The sequence below is a fragment of the Homo sapiens genome, chromosome X (assembly GCF_000001405.40).
Source record: "Homo sapiens chromosome X, GRCh38.p14 Primary Assembly".
NCBI classification, from domain to species: Eukaryota; Metazoa; Chordata; class Mammalia; order Primates; family Hominidae; genus Homo; species Homo sapiens.
The window spans coordinates 149337027-149360542 of record NC_000023.11 but is presented as its reverse complement, the minus strand read 5'-3'; positions in this window follow the sequence as shown (position 1 = coordinate 149360542).

Genomic DNA, 23516 nt, shown 5'->3' with positions numbered 1-23516 from the left:
ATTTAAAGTTTCAGAATACAAAATTGATATACAAAAGTAAGTAGGATTTCTATATGCCAGCAGTGAACAATCTGAAAAAGAAATAAAGAAGCAATTTCATTTACAATAGCCACACATAAAATTAAATATCTAGGAATTAACCAAAGTAGTGAAAGATCTCTACAATGAAAACTATAAAACGTTCATGTAAGAAATTGGAGAGAACACAAAAAATGGAAAGATACTCCATATTCATAGATTAGAAGAATCAATATTGTTAAAATGTGCATACTACCCAAAGCAATCTACAGATTCAATGAAACCTCTATCAAAATATCAATGACATTCTTCACAGAAATAGAAAAAACAATTTTAATGTTGGTATGAAAACAAAGAAGACTCAGAATAGACAAAGCTATCCTAAGCAAAAGGTCACAACTGGAAAAATTACATTATCTACTTCAAATTATACTACAGAGCTGTAGTAACCAAAACAGCATGCTGCTGGCACAAAAACAGACACATAAACAAGGGGAACAGAATAGAAAACCCAGAAATAAATCCATACATCTACAGTGAACACATTTTTGACAAAGGTATCAAGAACATACACTAGGGAAAAGACTGTCTCTTCAATAAATGGTGCTGGGAAAACTGGATATCTATATGCAGAATAATGAAACAAGGCCCCTCTCTTACCATATATAGAAATTAAATCAAAGTGGATTAAATACTTAGATCTAAAAACTCAAGCTATGAAACGACTACAAGAAAATATTGAGGAAAATCTCCAGAACATTGGTCTGGGCAACAATTTTTTGAGCAATACCTCACAAGTACGGGCAGCCAAAGCAAAAATGGACAAATGAGATTACATCAAGTACACCACTGGCATTCCTGGGCTTCCAGCTTGCAGATGGCAAATGACAGGATGTCTCAGTCTCAATAATCATGTGAGCCAATCCCTCATGATAAATCTCTATCTATCTATCATCTATCTATCTATCTATCTATCTATCTATCTATCTATCTATCTATCTATCTAATCTATCTATCTATAAAGGATATAATCAAAAAAGTGAAGAGACAACTCACAGAATGGGAGAAAGTATTTGCAAACTATCCATCTGAAAAGAGATTAATAACCAGAATAAGCTGGGCTTGGTGGCTCACACCTGTCATCCTAGCACTTTGGGAGGCCAAGACGGGCGGATCACAAAGTCAGGAGTTCAAGACCATCCTAGCCAACATAGAGAAACACCATCTCTACTAAAAATACAAAAATTAGTTGGGCAAGGTGGCAGATGCCTGTAGTCCCAGCTACTCGGGAGGCTGAGGCAGGAGAATCGCTTGAACCTGGGAGGTGGAGGTTGCAGTGAGCTGAGATCGCACTGCTGCACTCCAGCCTGGGTGATGGAACAAAACTCTGTCTCAAAACAAAACAAAACAAAACAACCCAGAATATATAAGGATATTGTATTAGTCTGTTCTCATGCTGCTAATAAAGACATATCCAAGACTCAGTAATTTGTAAAGAAAAAGAGGTTTAATGGGCTCACAGTTTCACATGGCCAAAGAGGTCTCACAATCATGGCAGAAAGCAAAGGAGGAGCAAAGGCACATCTTACATGGTGGCAAGCAAGAGAGTGTGTGTGGGGAACTGCCCTTTTTTAAAACCACCCGATCTCATGAGACTTATTCACCATCACAAGAACAGCACAGGAAAAACCCACCCCCATGATGCATTTGCCTCCCATTAGATCTCTCTCACAACACATGGGGATTATGGGAGTTACAGTTCAAGATATTTGGGTGGGGACACAACCAAACCATATCATTTCACCACTGGCCCCTCCCAAATCTCATGTCTTCACATTTCCAAACCAATCATGCCTTACCAACATTCCCCCAAAGTCTTAATTGATTCTAGCATTAACTCAAAAGTCCAAGTCCAAATTCTCATCTGAGACAAGGTAACTCCTTTCTACCTATGAGCCTGTAAAATCAAAAGCAAGTTAGTTACTTCCTAGATACAACGGGGGACAGGCATTGTGTAAATATACCCATTCTAAGTGGGAGAAATTGGCCAAAACAAAGGGGCTACAGGCCCCATGCAAGTCGGAAATCCAATAGCACAGTCATTAAACCTTAAAGTTCCAAAATCATCTCCTTAGACTCCATGTCTCACAGCCAGGTCACACTGATGCAAGAGGTAGAGTCCCATGGCCTTAGGCAGCTCATGCCCTGTGGCTTTGCAGGATACAGCCATACTTTGGGCTGCTGTCACAGGCTGGCATTGAGTGTCTGTGGGTTTTCCAGGGGCACAGTGCAAGCTGTAGGTGGATCTACTATTCTGGGGTCTGGAGGACAGTGGCCCTCTCATCAGAGCTCCACTAGGCAATGCCCCAATGGGGACTCTGTGTAGGGACTCTGATCACACATTTCATTTCTGCACTGCCCTAGCAGAGTTTCTCCATGAGGGCCCTGCCCCTGCAGGAAACTACTGCCTGGACATCCAGGCATTTCCATACATCCTCTGAAATCTAGGTGGAGGTTTCCAAACTTCAATTCTTGACTTCTGTGTTTTTTTTACACATGGGCTCAACACTACTTGGAAGCTGCCAAGGTTTGGGGCTTGCACCCTCCAAAGTCATGGCCCAAGCTGTATCTTGGCCCCTTTTAGCCATGGCCCAAGCTGTACCTTGGCCCCTTTTAGCCATGGCTGGAGAGGCTGGGATGAGTGCACCAAGTCCCTAGGCTGCACACAGCAGGGTGGGCCCTAGGCCTAGCCCATAAAACCATTTTTTCCTCCTAGGCCTCTGGGTCTGTGATGTGAGGGGCTGCCACAAAGGTCTCTGACATGACCTGGAGATATTTTCCTCATTGTCTTGGTGACTAACAGTGGGATCCTCTTTACTTATGCAAATTTCTGCAGCAGGCTTGAATTTCTCCTGACAAAATGGGTTTTTCTTTTCTATTGTATTGTCAGGCTGCAAATTTTCCAAATTTTTATGCTCTGCTTTCTCTCGAACACTTTGCAACTTAGACATTTCTTCTGCCAGATACCCTAAATCATCTCTCTCAAGTTCAAAGTTCCACAAATCTCTAGGGCAGTGGCAAAATGCTCCAGTCTCTTTGTATAGCAAGATTGACCTTTACTCCAGTTCCCAACAAGTTTCTCATCTCCTTCTGAGACCACCTCAGCCTGGACCTTATTGTTCATATCACTGTCAGCATTTTGGTCAATGCCATTCAACAAGTCTCTAGGAAGTTCCAAACTTTCCCACATCTTCCTGTCTTCTGAACCCCCCATCCCGAGTATCTAGGAAGTTCCAAACTTTCCCACATTTTCTTATCTTCTTCTGAGCCCTCCAAACTTTTCCAACCTCTGCCTGTTACCCAGTTCCAAAGTTGCTTCCACATTTTCAGGTATCTTTATAGGAGCACCCCACTACCTAGTACCAATTTACTGTATTAGTCTGTTCTCATACTGCTGATAAAGACTTACCTGAGACTGGGTGATTTGTAAAGAAAAAGAGGTTTAATGGACTCACAGTATCACATGGCTGGGGAGGCCTCACAATCATGGCAGAAGGCAATGGAGGAGCAAAGACACATCTTACATGGTGCCAGGCAAGGGAGCATGTTCAGGGGAACTGCCCTTTTATAAAACCATGAGATCTCATGAGACTTATTCACTATCATGAGAGCAACATGGGAAAAACCCATCCCTGTGATTCAATTACCTCCCAACAGGTCTCTTCCACAACACTTGAGGATTATGGGAGCTACAATTCAAGATAAGATTTGGGTGGGGACACAGCCAAACCATATCAAACAACTGTATAGGAAAAAAAAATCTAATAATCCAATTTTTTAAATGGGCAAAAGGTAAGAATAGTTGTTTCTCAAAAGAAGACATACAAATTGCAAACAGGTATGTGAAAAGGTGTTCACCATCATTGATAATGAGATAAATGCAAATAAAAACTACAATGAGATATCATATCACCCCAGTTAAAATGGCTTATGTCCAAAAACAGGAAATAACAAATTCTGGTGAGGGTGTAGAGAAAAGAGAACTTTTGTACACTGTTGGTGGGAATGTAAATTAGTACGGCCATTATGGAGAATACTTTGGAAGTTCCTCAAAAAAGTAAAAATAGAGCCACCATATGATCCAGCAATACCACTGCTAAGTATATACCCAAAAGAAAGGAAATAATATATTGAAGAGTCATCTGCGTTCTCATGTTTTTTTTTGCAGCACTATTTACAATAGCTAATATTTGGAAGCAACCTAAGTGTCCATCAACTCAGGAATGGGTAAATATGGTACATATACACAATGGAGTATTATTCAGCCATAAAAAATAATAAAATCCTGTCATTTGCAACAACATTGATTAAACTGGAGGTCATTATGTTTAGTGAAATAATCCAGCACACAAAGACAAACTTCAAATATTCCCATACACTTGTGAGAGCAAAAATATTAAAACATTTGAACTCATGGAGATAGAAAAAGGATGGTTACCCGAGGTTGGAAAGGGTAGTTGGGGAGATGGGACAGGGTAGAGGTGGTTAACGGGCACAGATAATAGTTAGAAACAATGAATAAAACCTAATATTTGCTAACACAGCAGGGTAACTATAGTCAAAAATAATTTAAGTGTACATTTTTAAATAACTAAAAGAGTATAACCGGATTGTTTGTAACACAAAGCATAAATGCTTGAGGTGATGGGTACCCCATTTACCCTGATGTGATTGTTACGCATTGCAAGAATGTATCAAAATATTTCATGTAACCCATAAATATATACGCCTACTATGTATCCACAAAATTAAAATAAAAAATTAATTATTATCTCAAAACAAGTTTTCTAGTGGGTAACTAGGAGTAAGAGTGAATGGAACCACTCCCATTTCCACACTTTGATTCCTGGACCCATAAATCCTGGCTGTGAAAGACACACCAATACATATTACACACTGATTCAGAGTTTACAGCCTTTTGGAGAACCATTCCCTAGTCTTGCAAGATAATACCACCTAGCTGGCACTAACTGAATCTCCAAAAAGCCGTTCCACCATTTTATCAAGCCAGCTGCTTCAGGATAGTGGGGACAAGGTAAACAAGTGAATTCCATGAGCAAGAGCCCATTGCTACACTTCTTTTGCTGTGAAATGAGTTCCTGTGTCAGAAACAATGCTGTGAAGAATATCATGTTGGTGAATAAGACATTCCATAAGTCTATGGATGGTAATTATAGCAGAATCTTTGTATGCAGGGAGGACAAATCCATAGCCAGAGTAAGTGTCTTTTCCAGTAAGGATAAAACACTGCTCCTTCCATGATGCAAGTCGTCCAATGCAATCAACCTGCCACCAAATAGCTTCATGATTACCCTCAGGAATGGTACCGTTACCAGAGGCTCAGTGTTGGTATCTACTCCTTGTAAATTGAGCACTCAGCATAGTTGTATCCAGGTGGGCCTTGGTAAGTAGAAGACCATGTTCCTGAGCTCATGCATAACCTCCATCCCTACCACCATGGCCACTTTGTTCATGAGCCCATCGGGCAATCACAGGAGAGGTTGGGGAAGGCAGCTGCTAGTATCCACAGAACGGCTCATCCTATCCACTTAATTATTAAAGTTTTGCTCTCCTGAGGTCACCCTTTGGTAAGCATCCACATAAGACACAAATACCTTCATGTTCTTTGCTTATTCAAGGAGGTCTGTCTACATACTCCCTCTCCAAGTTTCTTTGGCACTAATTTTCCAATCACATTTCTCCCAAGTCCTTGCCCAGTCAGCCAAACCACTGGCTATTGCTCATGAACTAGTATACAATTGCACATCTTGCCATTTCTCCTTTCAAGCAAAGTGCACAATCAGATGCGTTGTTCAAAGTTGACCGATTGAGAAGATTTTCTTTACCACTTTCCTTCAGGAATGTCCCCAAAAGGGACTGTAGTGCTGAAGCTATCCACTTTTGGGTAGAGACTGTACGTTATGCAGAACTATCTGTAACCCAGGCCCTAGTCTTCTCTTCCTCTTTCAGCTGATTGTAGAGAACCCTCATGAAGCCATAGGTGCAGGCTGGGAGAGAGAAGCCAGTGTAGCAAGAGTGGGGACCTTGGGCATTTGGGTTACTTCTTGATGTAGCTTACTTGTGCCTTCAGGGCCTACTGAGGCCTGATCAAATATACACCACTTCCATTTAATGATGGAGTGCTGCTCTACATGCCCAACTTTATGACTTGGTGGTCAGATGACATCCAGTTCATGATGAGCAACTCAGGTTTTATGATAACTTGGTGGCCCTTGGTCAAGCATTCAGTTTTTACTAAGGCCCAGTAGCAAGGCAAGAGCTGCTCTCAAAAGGACAGTAGTTACCTGTGAATGATGGCAGGGCCTTGCTCCCAAATCTCAAAGGCCTGCACTGCAATTCACTTATAGGAGCCTCTTCAAACACCATTGGATTTGCTGGATCATGTGGCCCAAATGGCAGAGCAGCTTGCACAGCAACCTGGACCTGTGGCAGAACCTTCTCCTGTTCTGGGTCCCACTCAAAAGTAGCAGCTTTTTAGGTCATTGAGTAAATGAGCCAGAGTGACATACCCAACTGAAGAATATGTTGCCTCCCAAATCCAAACAGGTCCACTAGGTACTATGCCTCTTTTTTGTTAGGAAAAGCCAGATGCAAAAACTTATCCTTCACCTTAGAAAGAGTATCTTGATGTGCCCTACACCACTGGACTCCTGGAAATTTCATTGAAGAAGAAGATGCCTATATTTTAGTCAGATATATTTTCTACCTTCTGACATGTAAATGTCTTACCAATAAGTCTAGACTAGTTGCCATTTCTTGCTCACTAGATTTAATCAGCATCATGTCATCAATGTAATGGATCAGTGTGATATCGTGTGAAGTGAAAGGTGATCAAGTTCCCTTCAAACTAAATTGTGACCTAGTGCTGGACAGCTGATATATCCCTGAGGTAAGACAGTGAAGGTACATTGCTATCCTTGCTAGCTGAAAGCAAATTTTTTTCTGGTGGGCCTTATGGACAGTTATGGAACAGCTGTATGGATCAATAGCTGCATACCAGGTACCAGAGGATGTGTTAAGTTGCTCAAGCAATGAAACCCACACCTGGTATAGCAGCTCTAATCTGAGTCACCACATGGTTAAGTCTACTGCAATTCTGTAAGATCCATCTGTCTTTCACACAGGTCAAGTAGTAGAGCTGAATGGGGATGTGGTGGGAATTACCACCTGTGCATCTTTCAAGTACTTGATGGTGGCACTAATCTCTGAGATCCCTTCAAGGGTTGATTTTGATTTACTCTTTTTCTATGTAGAGGCAGTCCTAATGGCTTCCATCTGGCTTTTCCCACTGTAACAGCCATCACTCCAAAAGTCAGTGAACAAATGTGGGGATTTTGCCATTGCTGAATATGTCTATTCCAACTATGCATCTGGATCTGGGGAAATAACTGCAATATAGGTTCAGGAACCCACTGGGCCCAGTGTAAAATGGATTTGAGCAAAAACTCCATTGGTCACCTGTCTTCCATAAGCCCATTCTGACAAGAGGGCCATAGTGATGTTCAGCAAAGCAAAAGGAGTTATCCAAGGTCATTTACTTAATCAAGGTCAGCCCAGGCTCTAGAATCTAGTCCTCTGACTTTCTATACTGTACCCTTCCAGTGCCAGTCTGCCCACCTGTGGTCTTCACCTTGTTAGTGCTGGGTTGGGATGGGTAAGCCTGTGGGAAAGTGTCATGAAAGCAAAGCGACTTTATTCAAATATACAAGTTTATTAGGACTATGTGCTTATCAGTTGTGGCTGTTATAAGAGGTTTTGGCCATTGGATAAGAGACTCTATTCAGTTACAAATGTCTGGTAAAATGTTTCATTTTTCTTGAAAGCAGCAGAAGCAGATTCGAAGGCAGTACTAAGGGATAACTTAGCACTTAGGGCTGTTTTTACACTGTAAAGACTACACAAAAAATATGGAGGCCTAGGAAGGAGAACTGGGAAAAGCAAGGACTACTTAATGGAGCCTGCCTTCAAAGCCTTGGTAGCCAAGTGGTGGTGGCTGCATTGGTGGGAAGGCAGAGAACTGAGAAGTGAAAGTGGTGTGCAAGATGCTGAAGGTGGAGAAGAGGACATGTGTGGGAGTTTGAGTCTAGAGGGAGAGATGGAACTCTCCTGGGATGTGATTTGCAAACTTGAGAACTTATGGTTATTCTATGCATTTTCAGTGCTGAATAGGAGATCCAAGACTGCCTTTGATACAGGAGGGGGGCAGGGAAGTGCTGGGTAGAGAAGGGCAGTGTCCCTGGAGATGGCTTCACCCTTGGGCCTGTGCCACGGACCTAAGTGAGGGCAAGCACTTCTGTTTTTGTGCCCAAACTTTGCATTTTCCAAAACCACTCTGGCCCACCATGCCCCCATCCTGTGCCTATAAAAACCCCGAGACCCTAGCGGGCACATGCACAAGCAGCTGGACGTTGAGAGGAGCAGAGGAGCAGAAGAGCACACTGACAGACACCAGCAGATGCCGTCAGGCCATCAACAGTGGGGCAACATGGAATTCGGTTGGGGGCAGTCGGAGGAGGGTCCAGGCATTGGGTGGTTCGACTCCAAGAGAAGACTACATTCCCACTCCATCTCCCTTCTGGCCTCCTCATCCATCTCACTGAGAGCTATTTTCATCACTCAATAAAACCTTTCACTCATCCTCCAAGCCCATGTGTGGTCCAATTTTTCTGGTACACTAGGGCAAGAATCCGGGATACAGAAAGCCCTCTGTCTTTGAGATAAAGCAGAGGGTCTAATTGAGCTGATTAACACAAGCCACCTGCAGACAGCAAAACTGAAAGAGGACACTGAAACACACACCCACTGGGGCTTCGGGAGCTGTTAACAGTCTACCCTAGACGCTATGGTAGTGACGGAGCCCCAAAGCGCTCCCCATGACCTGCCCATCTGCATGCTCCCTCTAGGGGTTTGAGCAGCGGGGCATCTAAGAAGCGACCCACACCCCTGTGGCACGCCCTACATGGGGGATAAAGGAACTTCTCTGTTTCACCTTGTTCAACTTCCTCATGTGCCCAGGAAAACATTCAAGCCCCTGATAGATACAATCCATCCGAAGGATCTATAGTTGTGCCTCCATGTTGCCCAAGCAACTTTCTAATGGCAAGTTGGCTTCTCAGGGACCCAAAATGTCTAGGTTCCTTGGCAGTTTTATTTCCTTATTTTAATCCAGTAAAGAGCCTTTTTGGTTTTCTTTCTTATGGCCATTGGAGCTTTTGAGAGATGGATGAGCACCCCTAAGTCTAATCAACCCTGAAATAATTATGTGCTCATCATTAGTGCTTAGGGGATGTGGGCCAGGCTCTGTATATTCACCCAAGGGGGTACCAGCTTGTTTGGTCTTTGTGCTCTCAGCTGACAGGCCAATCCCAATGATACCTTTTCATATTACTTTGAGGCATTCCTTTTCTTTCCAAATATCAGCACTCTGCTCTCCTGTTCTGTTTGAGGACAGATGATAACCCTAATAGTGGTGAATACTGACAATGGTTCCATGTGTTTTTGGAATGTCATCTTAGTTTGAGTTTGGCAAGTCAGGGATTGCATTTAATTCTCCTACCTTTCTCGGGAAGAAGCAAATTAGAAGGAGCTCTAGTCCCAGAGTCAAGATAGCTGGCTTATTACTGGGGGAGTAGCCTGAAAGGTACTAGAAACCAGTTTATAGTTGAGGTTGGAACTTCCTCCTTCTGCCCTGCTGTTTGGTACTGGTACTTCTAAGGACATGGGGCTAGGCTTGCAAAAAGCCACCAATTGGGCAAAAGGGAGGTCTTAGGGAGGGCTGAGATTTTTCATCACAATGATTGCCTCTGGCTCCTCAATAATTCTTCCCCAGAATCGAGTTTGCCCCTTCTCTACAGGGATTTGCACTTAGTAGGCACTTATAGATGTTCTTGAAAGAGAAAGTTCTTAATAAATGGACTTGAACCCATCATATCTTAAAGCTAGAGGGGCCCATGGAAGTTGGCTTGCTTAAACCACTCATTATTTAAGAAATAAAGGACCTAGGTAGGGGAAGAGACTTGTTCAAGCTCACAGTGCAACTTGGTGACAGAACTGGGGTGACCCATTTTAGTTTTCAGATTGATTCTTCTCATGCAAGGAGTAGCCTCTGTTTCAGAACTGAACTGGGATCTGCTCAAAGGGCACATGAAGACCAGATATTAACATCAAGGTTTGCAGTGGGAGAAAAGAGGATGTTTATGTGCAGAGCACCAAGCAAGAAGGACTAGGCAGCTAATGCTCAAATCCAGACCTCCCTGATATCTTGCAAGCAAGAGTTTTTTAAAGGGGGATAAATTTCAGGAAAGCAGAAGTTGTAGGCAAAATCACAAATCAATACATAGAGATTTGGGATATCTTTTTTTTATTATTATACTTTAGGGTTTAGGGTACATGGGCACAACGTGCAGGTTTGTTACATATGTGTACATGTGCCATGTTGGTGTGCTGCACCCATTAACTCGTCATTTAACATTAGGTATATCTCCTAATGCTATCCCTCCCCCCTCCCCCCACCCCACAACAGGCCCCAGAGTGTGATGTTCCCCTTCCTGTGTCCATGTGTTCTCATTGCTCAATTCCCACCTATGAGTGAGAACATGCGGTGTTTGGTTTTTGTCCTTGCGATAGTTTGCTGAGAATGATGGTTTCCAGCTTCATCCATGTCCCTACAAAGGACATGAACTCATCCTTTTTTATGGCTGCATAGTATTCCATGGTGTATATGTGCCACATTTTCTTAATCCAGTCTATCATTGTTGGACATTTGGCTTGGTTCCAAGTCTTTGCTATTGTGAATAGTGCCGCAATAAACATACGTGTGCATGTGCCTTTATAGCAGCATGATTTATAATCCTTTGGGTATATACCCAGTAATGCGATGGCTGGGTCAAATGGTATTTCTGAATCTAGATCCCTGAGGAATCGCCACACTGACTTCCACAATGGTTGAACTAGTTTACAGTCCCACCAACAGTGTAAAAGTGTTCCTATTTCTCCACATCCTCTCCAGCACCTGTTGTTTCCTGACTTTTTAATGATTGCCATTCTAACTGGTGTGAGATGGTATCTCATTGTGGTTTTGATTTGCATTTCTCTGATGGCCAGTGATGAAGAGCATTTTTTCATGTGTCTGTTGGCTGCATAAATGTCTTCTTTTAAGAAATGTCTGTTCATGTCCTTCACCCACTTTTTGATAGGGTTGTTTGTTTTTTTCTTGTAAATTTGTTTGAGTTCATTGTAGATTCTGGATATTAGCCCTTTGTCAGATGAGTAGATTGCAAAAATTTTCTCCCATTCTGTAGGTTGTCTGTTCACTCTGATGGTAGTTTCTTTTGCCATGCAGAAGCTCTTTAGTTTAATTAGATACCATTGGTCAATTTTGGCTTTTGTTGCCATTGCTTTTGGTGTTTTGACATGAAGTCCTTGCCCATGCCTATGTCCTGAATGGTATTGCCTAGGTTTTCTTCTAGGGTTTTTATGGTTTTAGGTCTAACGTTTAAGTCTTTAATCCATCTTGAATTGATTTTTGTATAAGGTGTAAGGAAAGGATCCAGTTTCAGCTTTCTACATATGGCTAGCCAGTTTTCCCAGCACCATTTATTAAATAGGGAATCCTTTCCTCATTTCTTGTTTTTCTCAGGTTTGTCAAAGATCAGATAGTTGTAGATATGTGGCATTATTTCTGAGGGCTCTGTTCTGTTCCATTGGTCTATATCTCTGTTTTGGTACCAGTACCATGCTGTTTTGCTTACTGTAGCCTTGTAGCATAGTTTGAAGTCAGGTAGCGTGATGCCTCCAGCTTTGTTCTTTTGGCTTAGGATTGACCTGGCAATGTGGGCTGTTTTTGAAGCAGCAGCTTATAGGTCATAGGTAGAGTAAAAGATTTTCTGATTTGCAATTGGTTAAGGAAGAGAAGCATTCTTTAAAAATTTGGGATCAGCCGAAAATAATGATAGCTCTGGCTCATGGGTGTGACTCCCTCCAGGCTCCTCAGGAAGAAATTTAGAACAAAGAATAGTGGTCAGAGTTCAGTCTTCAGTTCCATCTTACCAGAGGGGAGTCAAATACTTCCTGACTCTAACTTCCTTGGCTAGTGTTTTAAGCTGCTATTACCTTCTTGCTTATCTAGTTGCTTATTTACTTCTCAGGGCTAACTAGGTGCCTAGAATTTCCCTTGAAGGAGCTCAAGATTTTCCTTTATTTCCAACTTGGGGGCTCCTAGACCCATAAGAGGGAGATTCCCTGCTCCATCTCACCTCTCCTTGGAAGTCAGAGTACACCTTTTTAAACTTGTTTGCCTACTGGCCTCACCCCTGGCATGTCAACCTTTTATCAGAAAGGTTCAACCAAAGAAGAGACATGAGTAGAATACACAGTTTGTTTGGGCTGGAACCTGTGACTATCACTGTCGTATCTATTTCATTCATGTGCAGAAGAAACAAGTTTTTCCAAAAATAAGGCCCAGGGATGTTGGGAAACATCTGGCTATCAGTCGGAACCCTCCTTTAGGCCACCCTTCCAGGATTCAATCCTTTTTGGTCAAAACTGGGCTGCAGGCATGTGGGCCTAGGTGCAGGGGCCTAGCAGGACCTCTTCTGTGAGGGAAAGCTGGGGAGGGGCAGGGTGGAAGAGGGCTCAGAGGGGTTGCTTGAGATGAGCAATAGGCAAGCAGAATCTCCGGGTTTTGTTATCAACACATTTAAAGGAACCAGCATTTGGAAGGGTCATGCTCCCAAGACAAGAAAGAGGAGTTCAGATGGAGGCAAAGAAAGAGTATTCAGACGTGAAGTGCTGTGCTTTCTTGACTGATCAGAGGACTCTTGAGGTACTGAATCAAAATCTGGGCTCTATATTCAAAGAGTCTGATAACAGTGTATTCTATGGGTTTATATCCTCGATCTACTACTTATTGTGCGATCTTGGGAAAATTGCTTAACTTCTGTGTGCTTCAGTTTCCTCCTCTGAAGAAGTGGGGTATTGTGAAGAATAAGTGAAATAATAGAAAGTACTTTGCGTGGGGCAGGGCACAAAGTCAACTTCCAATAAATGTCAGATACTTCTCCACCTCTTGTTACTCACATACTGCTTACATCACCATTGTAGAGGTCTGTGTGCTTGTTTCTCTCTCCGCTTAGATTCTAAGCCCTGGAAGGGAGGGCAGGGGTCATATTTGACATATTCACTGCTCTATGTCCAGAATCTACCTTTATAGCTTTTACTTAGCAGGGTAGGCACTCAAGAAGAAAAGGGAGGAAGGAAGCGGGGGAAGAAGAAAGATAAGAGAGTATTATTTAGTTGAGAAAGGGACTGGAAATCACATCATATGAGAAATGGAGGAAGGAAATGGGGATACTTAACTGATAGAAGAAAAAATTCAAGTTGCCATTAGAATGAATCTCCAAATCACCAAAGGATCTTCTAAAAGAGAGATATAATTTATTCTCAAACAAAGCCAGGGATGACCTGGAGAACAGCGTGAGGACCAATGATTGAAAGCAATGAAGGTTTTACTGAGTCCTTTAAAGAGAGAGCAGGCTGCCTTAAGGCCAAGTGAATTTCCTGATATTGGAGGAATCCAAGCCAGACCTGGACTAGCCTTTGATACTGCTGCTGGAAAAGGGATTCAACCATCAGACAGGACTAGACTGAGTGATCTGGAAAGTGTCTCAAAGTCTAACTTCCCCACCCCTTTCTCCAGGGCCTTATATCATTGTCCTTTGGATGGCTGTTTTTCTTGGGAGTGCAAATGAGGTGTGAAGTAACTTCTGATCTTTTCTGGCACAGTATGAAGTTGTGCGAGGCTCAGGGAAATAGTTAGCGCCACGGAACAAGCCTTTCCCAAGTCAGTATTGGGGAAAAAAAAATAACTCCATTAGAAATGCTAAATGAGGATCATAATGAGATATCCAAAGTCTTGCCAAGTGAATTTAATCACTTTCTGATCCCAACAGCCACACAATTCAACTCTTTCTGAGCATAATTAAGCAAGTGACAATGAGGATACTATTCTAAGACATAGTAATGAGATGCTGAGGGGCCTGAATTCAGCTGGAGGCAAATTCCTATTAAATATTTATTAGATATGCAAGTTCTTTAATAGCTAGAAAAAATAGAAAAGGAAATTTAGTTAAGTGAGGTCCATTTCCTTTGAAATTAAACTGTTGAAAACAGAAGCTGCCGGGTCACTGCTTGCAGGTATCTTCATTTTTCTGGCCTGAGGGCTTGGCTAGATTCTGTGGCTATAAACTCCTAGGTGAGCAGGAGCCACAGAAAAGAAGAATAAATTAGAGAATGATAGACTTTTTTGGCAGGGTAGTAAAGAAGAGAGAAGGAAGTACTAAGAGGTAGTGGAGTGGGGTAGAAAGCCTGAGTTCTGGAGGCTCCAGACAGACTTGTTTGAATTTGAACTTGAAAACCGCGTGTATGTGTGTGTGTGTGTATATATATCTGAGTGACCTTAGATTAATCTCTTTATCCTTCTGAGCCTGCAGTCTCTTGCTCTGTGAAATGGGTTTATTCATACCTACCTCACAGGGTTATTTAGAGGACCAGATGAGAAAATGGCTCTAAAAATGCCTTAGAAGGCTAGGCACTGTGGCTGACGCCTGTAATCCCAGCACTTTGGGAGGCCAAGGTGGGCAGATTACGAGGTCAAGAGATAGAGACCATCCTGGCCAACATGTTGAAACCCCATCTCTACTAAAAATACAAAAGTTAGCTGGGCGTGGTGGCACGTGCCTGTACTCCCAGATACTCGGGAGGCTGAGGCAGGAGAATCGCTTGAACCCGGGAAGTGGAAGCTGCAGTGAGCCGAGATCGCACCACTGCACTCCAGCCTGGCGACAGAGCGAGACTCCGTCTCCAAAAAAAACAAAAAACAAAAAACAAAAAAGCTAGAAACCGTACACACAGAAGGGGCATGGCTCATTGACTCAGTTCCTGCAAGAGAATTTCAGTCCCTGCAAGAGAATTTCCTGAGATGCTAGCAAGCTCCCAGCAGAGTTCAAAGCCCTCCTCAGTTGTTGCTTCAGGGAGTAAGCATATCCATTTGGCTGAAAGACTATTCTGCTTCACATTGACTTTGTTTCTACCCAGCCTTTACAGGACAAGGATCATGATCATGCATTTCTCCTAACTAGTGTTAATCAGTATGCAAATAAGATGCAGGCTCCAGGCTTGGCCAGCAGGAAGGGGAGTTCAACCCCTGCTGGGTCTCCTGTAGGGGTGTTTTGGGCAATTATGCGCCTCACCTGTGCAAGAGGCAGACTAAGCTAAGGCTCTGCTCAGGCCTTAGGCAAGCCTGTTTCAGTACTCCCAGACATTCACAGATTGCTTCCCTTTCTGAACTTTTCCTTGATTAACTTTATCACAGCACAGAGTGATAGCAATAACTGTTACTGCTTCTTGGGTGCTTACTTGTGCTAGGTGCCATTTAACCCTGGCAACAACCTGTTGGGTATGTAGCCCAGATATGGGAGATGATTTGCTCAGGGTCACAAAGATACTAACCCAGGTTTCTCTGACTCTCAAGTCCCTGTGATTTTCCCTCTTCCATACAGCCTTTCACAGAGAAGTACAAACTGAATGATTTGAGGGAACCATTACTTCTGCCTGGAGCACGTGGAGAAGCCAGCTTCTGAGGGCTGTATTCAGGCAGCAGAGGAAGGACTGCCCTTAGATGCATTGGGGTGGGGGTAGAGTTACACTGGTGAGCCACGTGTCTGCTGCTAAGCACACCAGGGGAGTGGGGGAGAATCATGCTTTCTGAGGAGCCCTTTGTGGTCTGGCATCTAGAGCTGGTGGGCTCTAGACAGGGCTTGTCTGTATCTAATCTTTGATATTGGGAGCCAGAGGGGTGTTCCACTCCTCCATAGGGATCTTTATCTTTTGGTCTGAAAAGGGCTTGGGTAATCTGCAGGGTGGGGCACTGGGAGTGCCAGGAGCACAGGCAGAATGCTTGCATGAGAGGGGCCTCTGCTGAACTACCCTTCCTCCTCCCCTGTGCCATCCCTACATGGGTCAGAAGCAGTGGATGATTTGGTCCTGAACCAACTGAGCAAATGGCCTTTGGCTAATAGTGCTCTTTTGGTATGGAGGGCTTATCTTGGGTCATGGATGTCAGCACCATGCTTGGAACCTTGCAGATCATAACCAAATCAGCTAGAGATATCCTTGACTCTCTTACTCCTTTTAGTCCATTCAGCCCTGTTTCTTCCTGAGAATTTACTTGCGTCATTTCCTTCTAGCATAAGCAAATACCATCTCTGTATCAGTCAGGGTTCTCCAGAGACACAAAGAAACAGAACAAATAGGAGAATATATATACACACACACAAATGCACGTATCTGACTGAAACAGTTGTCTCAGATTATCTATCTATCTATCTATCTATCATCTATCTATCATCTATCTATCTGAAATTATTATCATTATTATAAGGCATTGACTCATGTGATTTGAAGGCCGAGAAGTCCCATGATCTTCTGTCTGGAAGATGAAGCCCCAGGAAAGCCAGTGGTATAAATGGGAGTTCTGATAACTGGAGGGCCATTGGTGTAGATTCCTATCTGAATCTGAAAGCCTGAGAACCAACCAGGAGCTCCGAAGTTAGGAGAAGATCGATGTTCTTCATTCAAGCATTCAGGCAGAGGGAGGACAAATCCAATCTTCCTCTGCTTTTTTGTTTTATTTAGGCCCTCAACAGATTGGATAATGCCCACCCACATTAGGGAGAGCCATATTTTTTACTCAGTCAACCAATTCAAATGCCAGTCTCTTCCAGAAACATTCTCACAGACATGCCCAGAAATAATGTTTTGAATCAGATATCTGAGCATGCTATGGGCATATGTCAACGTGACATATAGTATTAACCATGAAAATCTCCTTACCCCTGCCTTGTATGATCATAGCAGGTTCCTATCAGAGAAAGCCTCTTGCCTTTCAGGCCCATCCACCCGCTGTCCCAGAGTCTGCTTTCTCAGAAAGCACTCTACATATGCAGTTATGCAGTTGTTCTAGCAGGATGGTGATGCTGCTGTAAACAACAACAAAAAATATCAGACCACATCAGGCCTCTGAGGTATATAGCTAAGTCTGGCAGATAAAAACAAGTTTGTGAAAAGTGAAGTGATAAGGCAAGATTCAAGCGATAGCTCAAATAGATAACACAGAAGAAGATAGATCACAAGCAGGGTGTGATTAATTTCCCAAAGAGTTTTACTGATGATCGTTCCAAGGGCTCAGAGTTGGGAGAAGGAGGTCATGAGGGATACTGGGTGGGAAGAAAGCTTGATATAAGAGATGGGTTGTGATATGTATCTTCAAGAATGAATTTAGTTTGGATGGGGAGCAGGGTCATGGAGATCATTTCCATTTATTCTAGAGAAGTTGTATGTCCTAGGTGGCCTCTGTGTCCAATGTGGCTGACACTGGGGATGCAGGGTAGCTTCCTGGGGTTGCTCACAGACAGAGCTTGACACAAGCAGGAAAATCAAAGGCACAGCCAAGGACCAGAGAGATTACTTGGTTTCCTGTCTCCTATAGAGTACAGATTCCTTCCAAAGTATTCAAGTCCCTCCACCACGTGGGTCCGATTTTCCTCTCCATTTTCATGTCCTCCTCTTTGTTCTATAATCTTTGCTTTATAAATTTTGAAGCTGGGCTGGGCACAGTGGCTCATGTCTGTAATCCCAGCAGCACTTTGGGAGGCCGAGGTGGGCAGATCACCTGAGGTCATGAGTTTGAGACCAGTCTGGCCAACATGAGGAAACTCTGTCTCTACTAAAAATACGAAAATTAGCCAGGCATGGTGATGTGTGCCTGTAATCCCAGTTACTCGGGAGGCTGAGGCAGGAGAATCATTTGAACCCAAGAGGCAGAGGTTGCAGTGAGCCAAGATCGTGCCACTGCACCCCAGCCTGGGCGACAGAGCGAGACCCTGTCTCAAAAAAAAAAAAAAATCGATGCAGGATACTTTGGTATTTTAAGATTCACAATGCTTACTACTTTTTGCTGAACTGTGTGTTTTATTTATATAAAATCTCTCTCTTCTGCTTAATACTGTTGCCTTAAACTCTACTTTGATAGTAATAGTACCAATCGTGTTTATTTGTATTTGTAGATATATCTTTGCCCTTTCGTTTTATGTCTTTGGGCTTAGTTGGTCCAACACCAGCTCTAAAAGTGATGGGGGTTGGAGGAAGGGGTTGAAGATCCAGCAGAACTGAATGCCGAGTGTCTAACAGTGAAGCTCAGAGGCAGCAATCAGAACACATCCTCAGTCTAACCAGCTCTGTCTTTCAAGAAGTTTGCCAGGATATCTGAGTGCCTTTGTCTGCTCCTCTCTTAGCAGGTAAACAGAACTCTTGGCCTCTACTGAACTTGCTGCTTCTGGCTTCCTTGAACCTTGCCCAATTCTACTAGCAATATAATCTTTGTCACCCTTTGCTAATTCCTGTGCCACTTGTTGGCCCAAACTGGGTCCAGTCTCATTTTACCTATCATCCCATCTGCCAATGACTCTGGCTGTGACTGATACACAAGTCTTGTCGCCTTGATATCTTTCCAGTTCTGGATGAAACTAAAAAGAATAAATATCTTAGAAAGCAACAGAATTCCTACTATAGTAATTAATCTCTAAAAATTAAGAGAGGAAGAAACTAAGCACCTATGATCCATACTGAGGTCAAATTCTAATAAAAAGAGCAGAAGTTTTAAGTCTATAAAGCCAATCAAATTTGAATTGTGGGTAATTCCAAGTTACCATCCAAGCCAAGGGAGCCTGTGGTCAGATGCCATTGCTGATGTTCATAGACTCAAGGTAAAGGCTAGCTGCAGGAGGCCATGCAGTAAGTCATGTGATCTCACTGGACTATGGGATGCAGCAGCTTTCAGAGAGCCCTGGAAGTAGAGGCTTAATAGAATTTTGGTGGGAGGGAGGGCTGTTCATTCCAGTGAAGTAAGTGTGTATCAGGTGTCCTTTGTGCCAGACACTGTGCAGGCACTATGGGTATGGGGTGGCTCCTCTGTGTTGCTCACAGACACAGCTGATACAAGCAGGCTTGGAGACAAAAAGGGGTGGAGAGTTCCTCCTAGGTGAATGGTGGAAGCTCAGTATGTCTTTGTGAATGAAAGAACTTAGAATTTAGCTTTTCAAATTACTACATATTTTTTCACTTGTACAAAGGAGTGTAAATCTTTTCTGTGTGCCGTTCACTTTATAGTTTAGAAAATATGTTCACGGCTGGGCACAGTGGCTCACACCTGCAATCCCAGCATTTTGGGAGGCCGAGGTGGGCAGATCACAAGGCCAGGAGTTTTAGGCCAGCCTGACCAATATGGTGAAACCCCATCCCTACTAAAAAGACAAAAAAAAATTAGCCGGGTGTGGTAGTGCATGCCTGTAATCCCAACTACTCAGGAGGCTGAGGCAGGAAAATTGCTTGAACCTGGGAGGCGGAGGTTGCAGTGAGCAGAGATAGTGCCACTGCACTCCAGCCTGGGTGACAGAGCGAGACTCTGTCTCAAAAAAAAAAAAAAAAGAAAGAAAGAAAATATGTTCACATGTTATCCAGTTTGATTCACAAAAAACTATTTTAGTCAGGCTCATTATCTTAATTTTACAGATAACAAAACATAGGCTCACACTGGCTAAGAAGCTCATGCAAGGTCACCTAGCTGGTAAGTGGCAGATCTGGAATTTATTAATTTTTTTACTCAGCTGTAATTTTTACTTTTTATCCATCATTTTTTCAATTATTAACATAGTTATACCCTTTGTTTAGTTCTGTATTTCATCATGTATATATTATTTATTTTCTCCAGCTTTATTGAGGTATAAATGATGAATAAAAAGTGCATATACTGAAGGTATACAACATGATGTTTTGATATGGAATTTAAATGCATGGCTCCTGATACCTAGTTCAAGGTTCTTTGTACAAAATCACTGCTGATGTCATCTGTTGGTGTGAGCCATAACAATCATGATTTGGACCTTTTCCACAAACTACTAAAATGCCAAAGAAATATGGCTACAAGGACATTGGAGTTTTACAATTGTATTATGCCTAAAGCCTTAGGACAGAAGCATAATAGGACAGAAGCATAATAAAGCCACTCATTAAAATATTTAAATCAACTGACAACCATAATAATATTAAATACTCATAGCCGTATTATACTGTGTTTTAGATTAGTCTTTTAAGTGCAGAGACTCTTTTAGAAAAGTGTATCTTCATTGTTTTAGGAACAAGAGGTTCTTCTGAGCAGCTGTAGATCATTGAGGATGGGAGGTGGAGTGGTGGGAGGACATTGAAGGTCTATCAGAGTAGGGTCCTGAGTACCTTCAGAAGTTTTAAGTCTATAAAGCCCAGTGAATTTGAAATGTGGGTAAGTCTTTCTTTTTTTAAATTTTTTATTTATTATTATTATACTTTAAGTTTTAGGGTACATATGCACAATGTGCAGGTTAGTTACATATGTATACATGTGCCATGCTGGTGCGCTGCACCCACCAACTCGTCATCTAGCATTAGGTATATCTCCCAATGCTATCCCTCCCCCCTCCCCCGACCCCACCACAGTCCCCAGAGTGTGATGTTCCCCTTCCTGTGTCCATGTGTTCTCATTGTTCAATTCCCACCTATGAGTGAGAATATGCGGTGTTTGGTTTTTTGTTCTTGCGATAGTTTACTGAGAATGATGATTTCCAATTTCATCCATGTCCCTACAAAGGACATGAACTCATCATTTTTTATGGCTGCACAGTATTCCATGGTGTATATGTGCCACATTTTCTTAATCCAGTCTATCATTGTTGGACATTTGGGTTGGCTCCAAGTCTTTGCTATTGTGAATAATGCCACAATAAACATACGTGTGCATGTGTCTTTATAGCAGAATGATTTATAGTCCTTTGGGTATATACCCAGTAATGGGATGGCTGGGTCAAATGGTATTTCTAGTTCTAGATCCCTGAGGAATCGCCACACTGACTTCCACAATGGTTGAACTAGTTTACAGTCCCACCAACAGTGTAAAAGTGTTCCTATTTCTCCACATCCTCTCCAGCACCTGTTGTTTCCTGACTTTTTAATGATTGCCATTCTAACTGGTGTGAGATGGTATCTCATTGTGGTTTTGATTTGCATTTCTCTGATGGCCAGTGATGGTGAGCATTTTTTCATGTGTTTTTTGGCTGCATAAATGTCTTCTTTTGAGAAGTGTCTGTTCATGTCCTTCGCCCACTTTTTGATGGGGTTGTTTGTTTTTTCTTGTAAATTTGTTTGAGTTCATTGTAGATTCTGGATATTAGCCCTTTGTCAGATGAGTAGGTTGCGAAAATTTTCTCCCATTTTGTAGGTTGCCTGTTCACTCTGATGGTAGTTTCTTTTGCTGTGCAGAAGCTCTTTAGTTTAATTAGATCCCATTTGTCAATTTTGGCTTTTGTTGCCATTGCTTTTGGTGTTTTAGACATGAAGTCCTTGCCCATGCCTATGTCCTGAATGGTATTGCCTAGGTTTTCTTCTAGGGTTTTTATGGTTTCAGGTCGAACGTTTAAGTCTTTAATCCATCTTGAATTGATTTTTGTATAAGGTGTAAGGAAGGGATCCAGTTTCAGCTTTCTACATATGGCTAGCCAGTTTTCCCAGCACCATTTATTAAATAGGGAATCCTTTCCCCATTGCTTGTTTTTCTCAGGTTTGTCAAAGATCAGATAGTTGTAGATATGCGGCGTTATTTCTGAGGGCTCTATTCTGTTACATTGATCTATATCTCTGTTTTGGTACCAGTACCATGCTGTTTTGGTTACTGTAGCCTTGTAGTATAGTTTGAAGTCAGGTAGTGTGATGCCTCCAGCTTTGTTCTTTTGGCTTAGGATTCACTTGGCGATGCGGGCTCTTTTTTGGTTCCATATGAACTTTAAAGTAGTTTTTTCCAATTCTGTGAAGAAAGTCATTGGTAGCTTGATGGGGATGGCGTTGAATCTGTAAATTACCTTGGGCAGCATGGCCATTTTCACGATATTGATTCTTCCTACCCATGAGCATGGAATGTTCTTCCATTTGTTTGTATCCTCTTTTATTTCCTTGAGCAGTGGTTTGTAGTTCTCCTTGAAGAGGTCCTTCACATCCCTTGTAAGTTGGATTCCTAGGTATTTTATTCTCTTTGAAGCAATTGTGGATGGGAGTTCACTCATGATTTGGCTCTCTGTTTGTCTGTTGTTGGTGTATAAGAATGCTTGTGATTTTTGTACATTGATTTTGTATCCTGAGACTTTGCTGAAGTTGCTTATCAGTTTAAGGAGATTTTGGGCTGAGACAGTGGGGTTTTCTAGATATACTATCATGTCGTCTGCAGACAGGGACAATTTGACTTCCTCTTTTCCTAAATGAATGCCTTTTATTTCCTCCTGCCTAATTGCCCTGGCCAGAACTTCCAACACTATGTTGAATAGGAGTGGTGAGAGAGGGCATCCCTGTCTTGTGCCAGTTTTCAAAGGGAATGCTTCCAGTTTTTGCCCATTCAGTATGATATTGGCTGTGGGTTTGTCATAGATAGCTGTTATTATTTTGAAATACGTCCCATCAATACCTAATTTATTGAGAGTTTTTAGCATGAAGGGTTGGTGAATTTTGTCAAAGGCCTTTTCTGCATCTGTTGAGATAATCATGTGGTTTTTGTCTTTGGTTCTGTTTATATGCTGTATTACATTTATTGATTTGCGTATATTGAACCAGCCTTGCATCCCAGGGATGAAGCCCACTTGATCATGGTGGATAAGCTTTTTGATGTGCTGCTGGATTCGGTTTGCCAGTATTTTACTGAGGATTTTTGCATCAATGTTCATCAAGGATATTGGTCTAAAATTCTCTTTTTTGGTTGTGTCTCTGCCCGGCTTTGGTATCAGGATGATGCTGGCCTCATAAAATGAGTTAGGGAGGATTCCCTCTTTTTCTATTGATTGGAATAGTTTCAGAAGGAATGGTACCAGTTCCTCCTTGTACCTCTGGTAGAATTCGGCTGTGAATCCATCTGGTCCTGGACTCTTTTTGGTTGGTAAGCTATTGATTATTGCCACAATTTCAGATCCTGTTATTGGTCTATTCAGAGATTCAACTTCTTCCTGGTTTAGTCTTGGGAGAGTGTATGTGTCGAGGAATGTATCCATTTCTTCTAGATTTTCTAGTTTATTTGCGTAGAGGTGTTTGTAGTATTCTCTGATGGTAGTCTGTATTTCTGTGGGATCGGTGGTGATATCCCCTTTATCATTTTTTATTGTGTCTATTTGATTCTTCTCTCTTTTTTTCTTTATTAGTCTTGCTAGTGGTCTCTCAATTTTGTTGATCCTTTCAAAATACCAGCTCCTGGATTCATTAATTTTTTGAAGGGTTTTTTTTGGTCTCTATTTCCT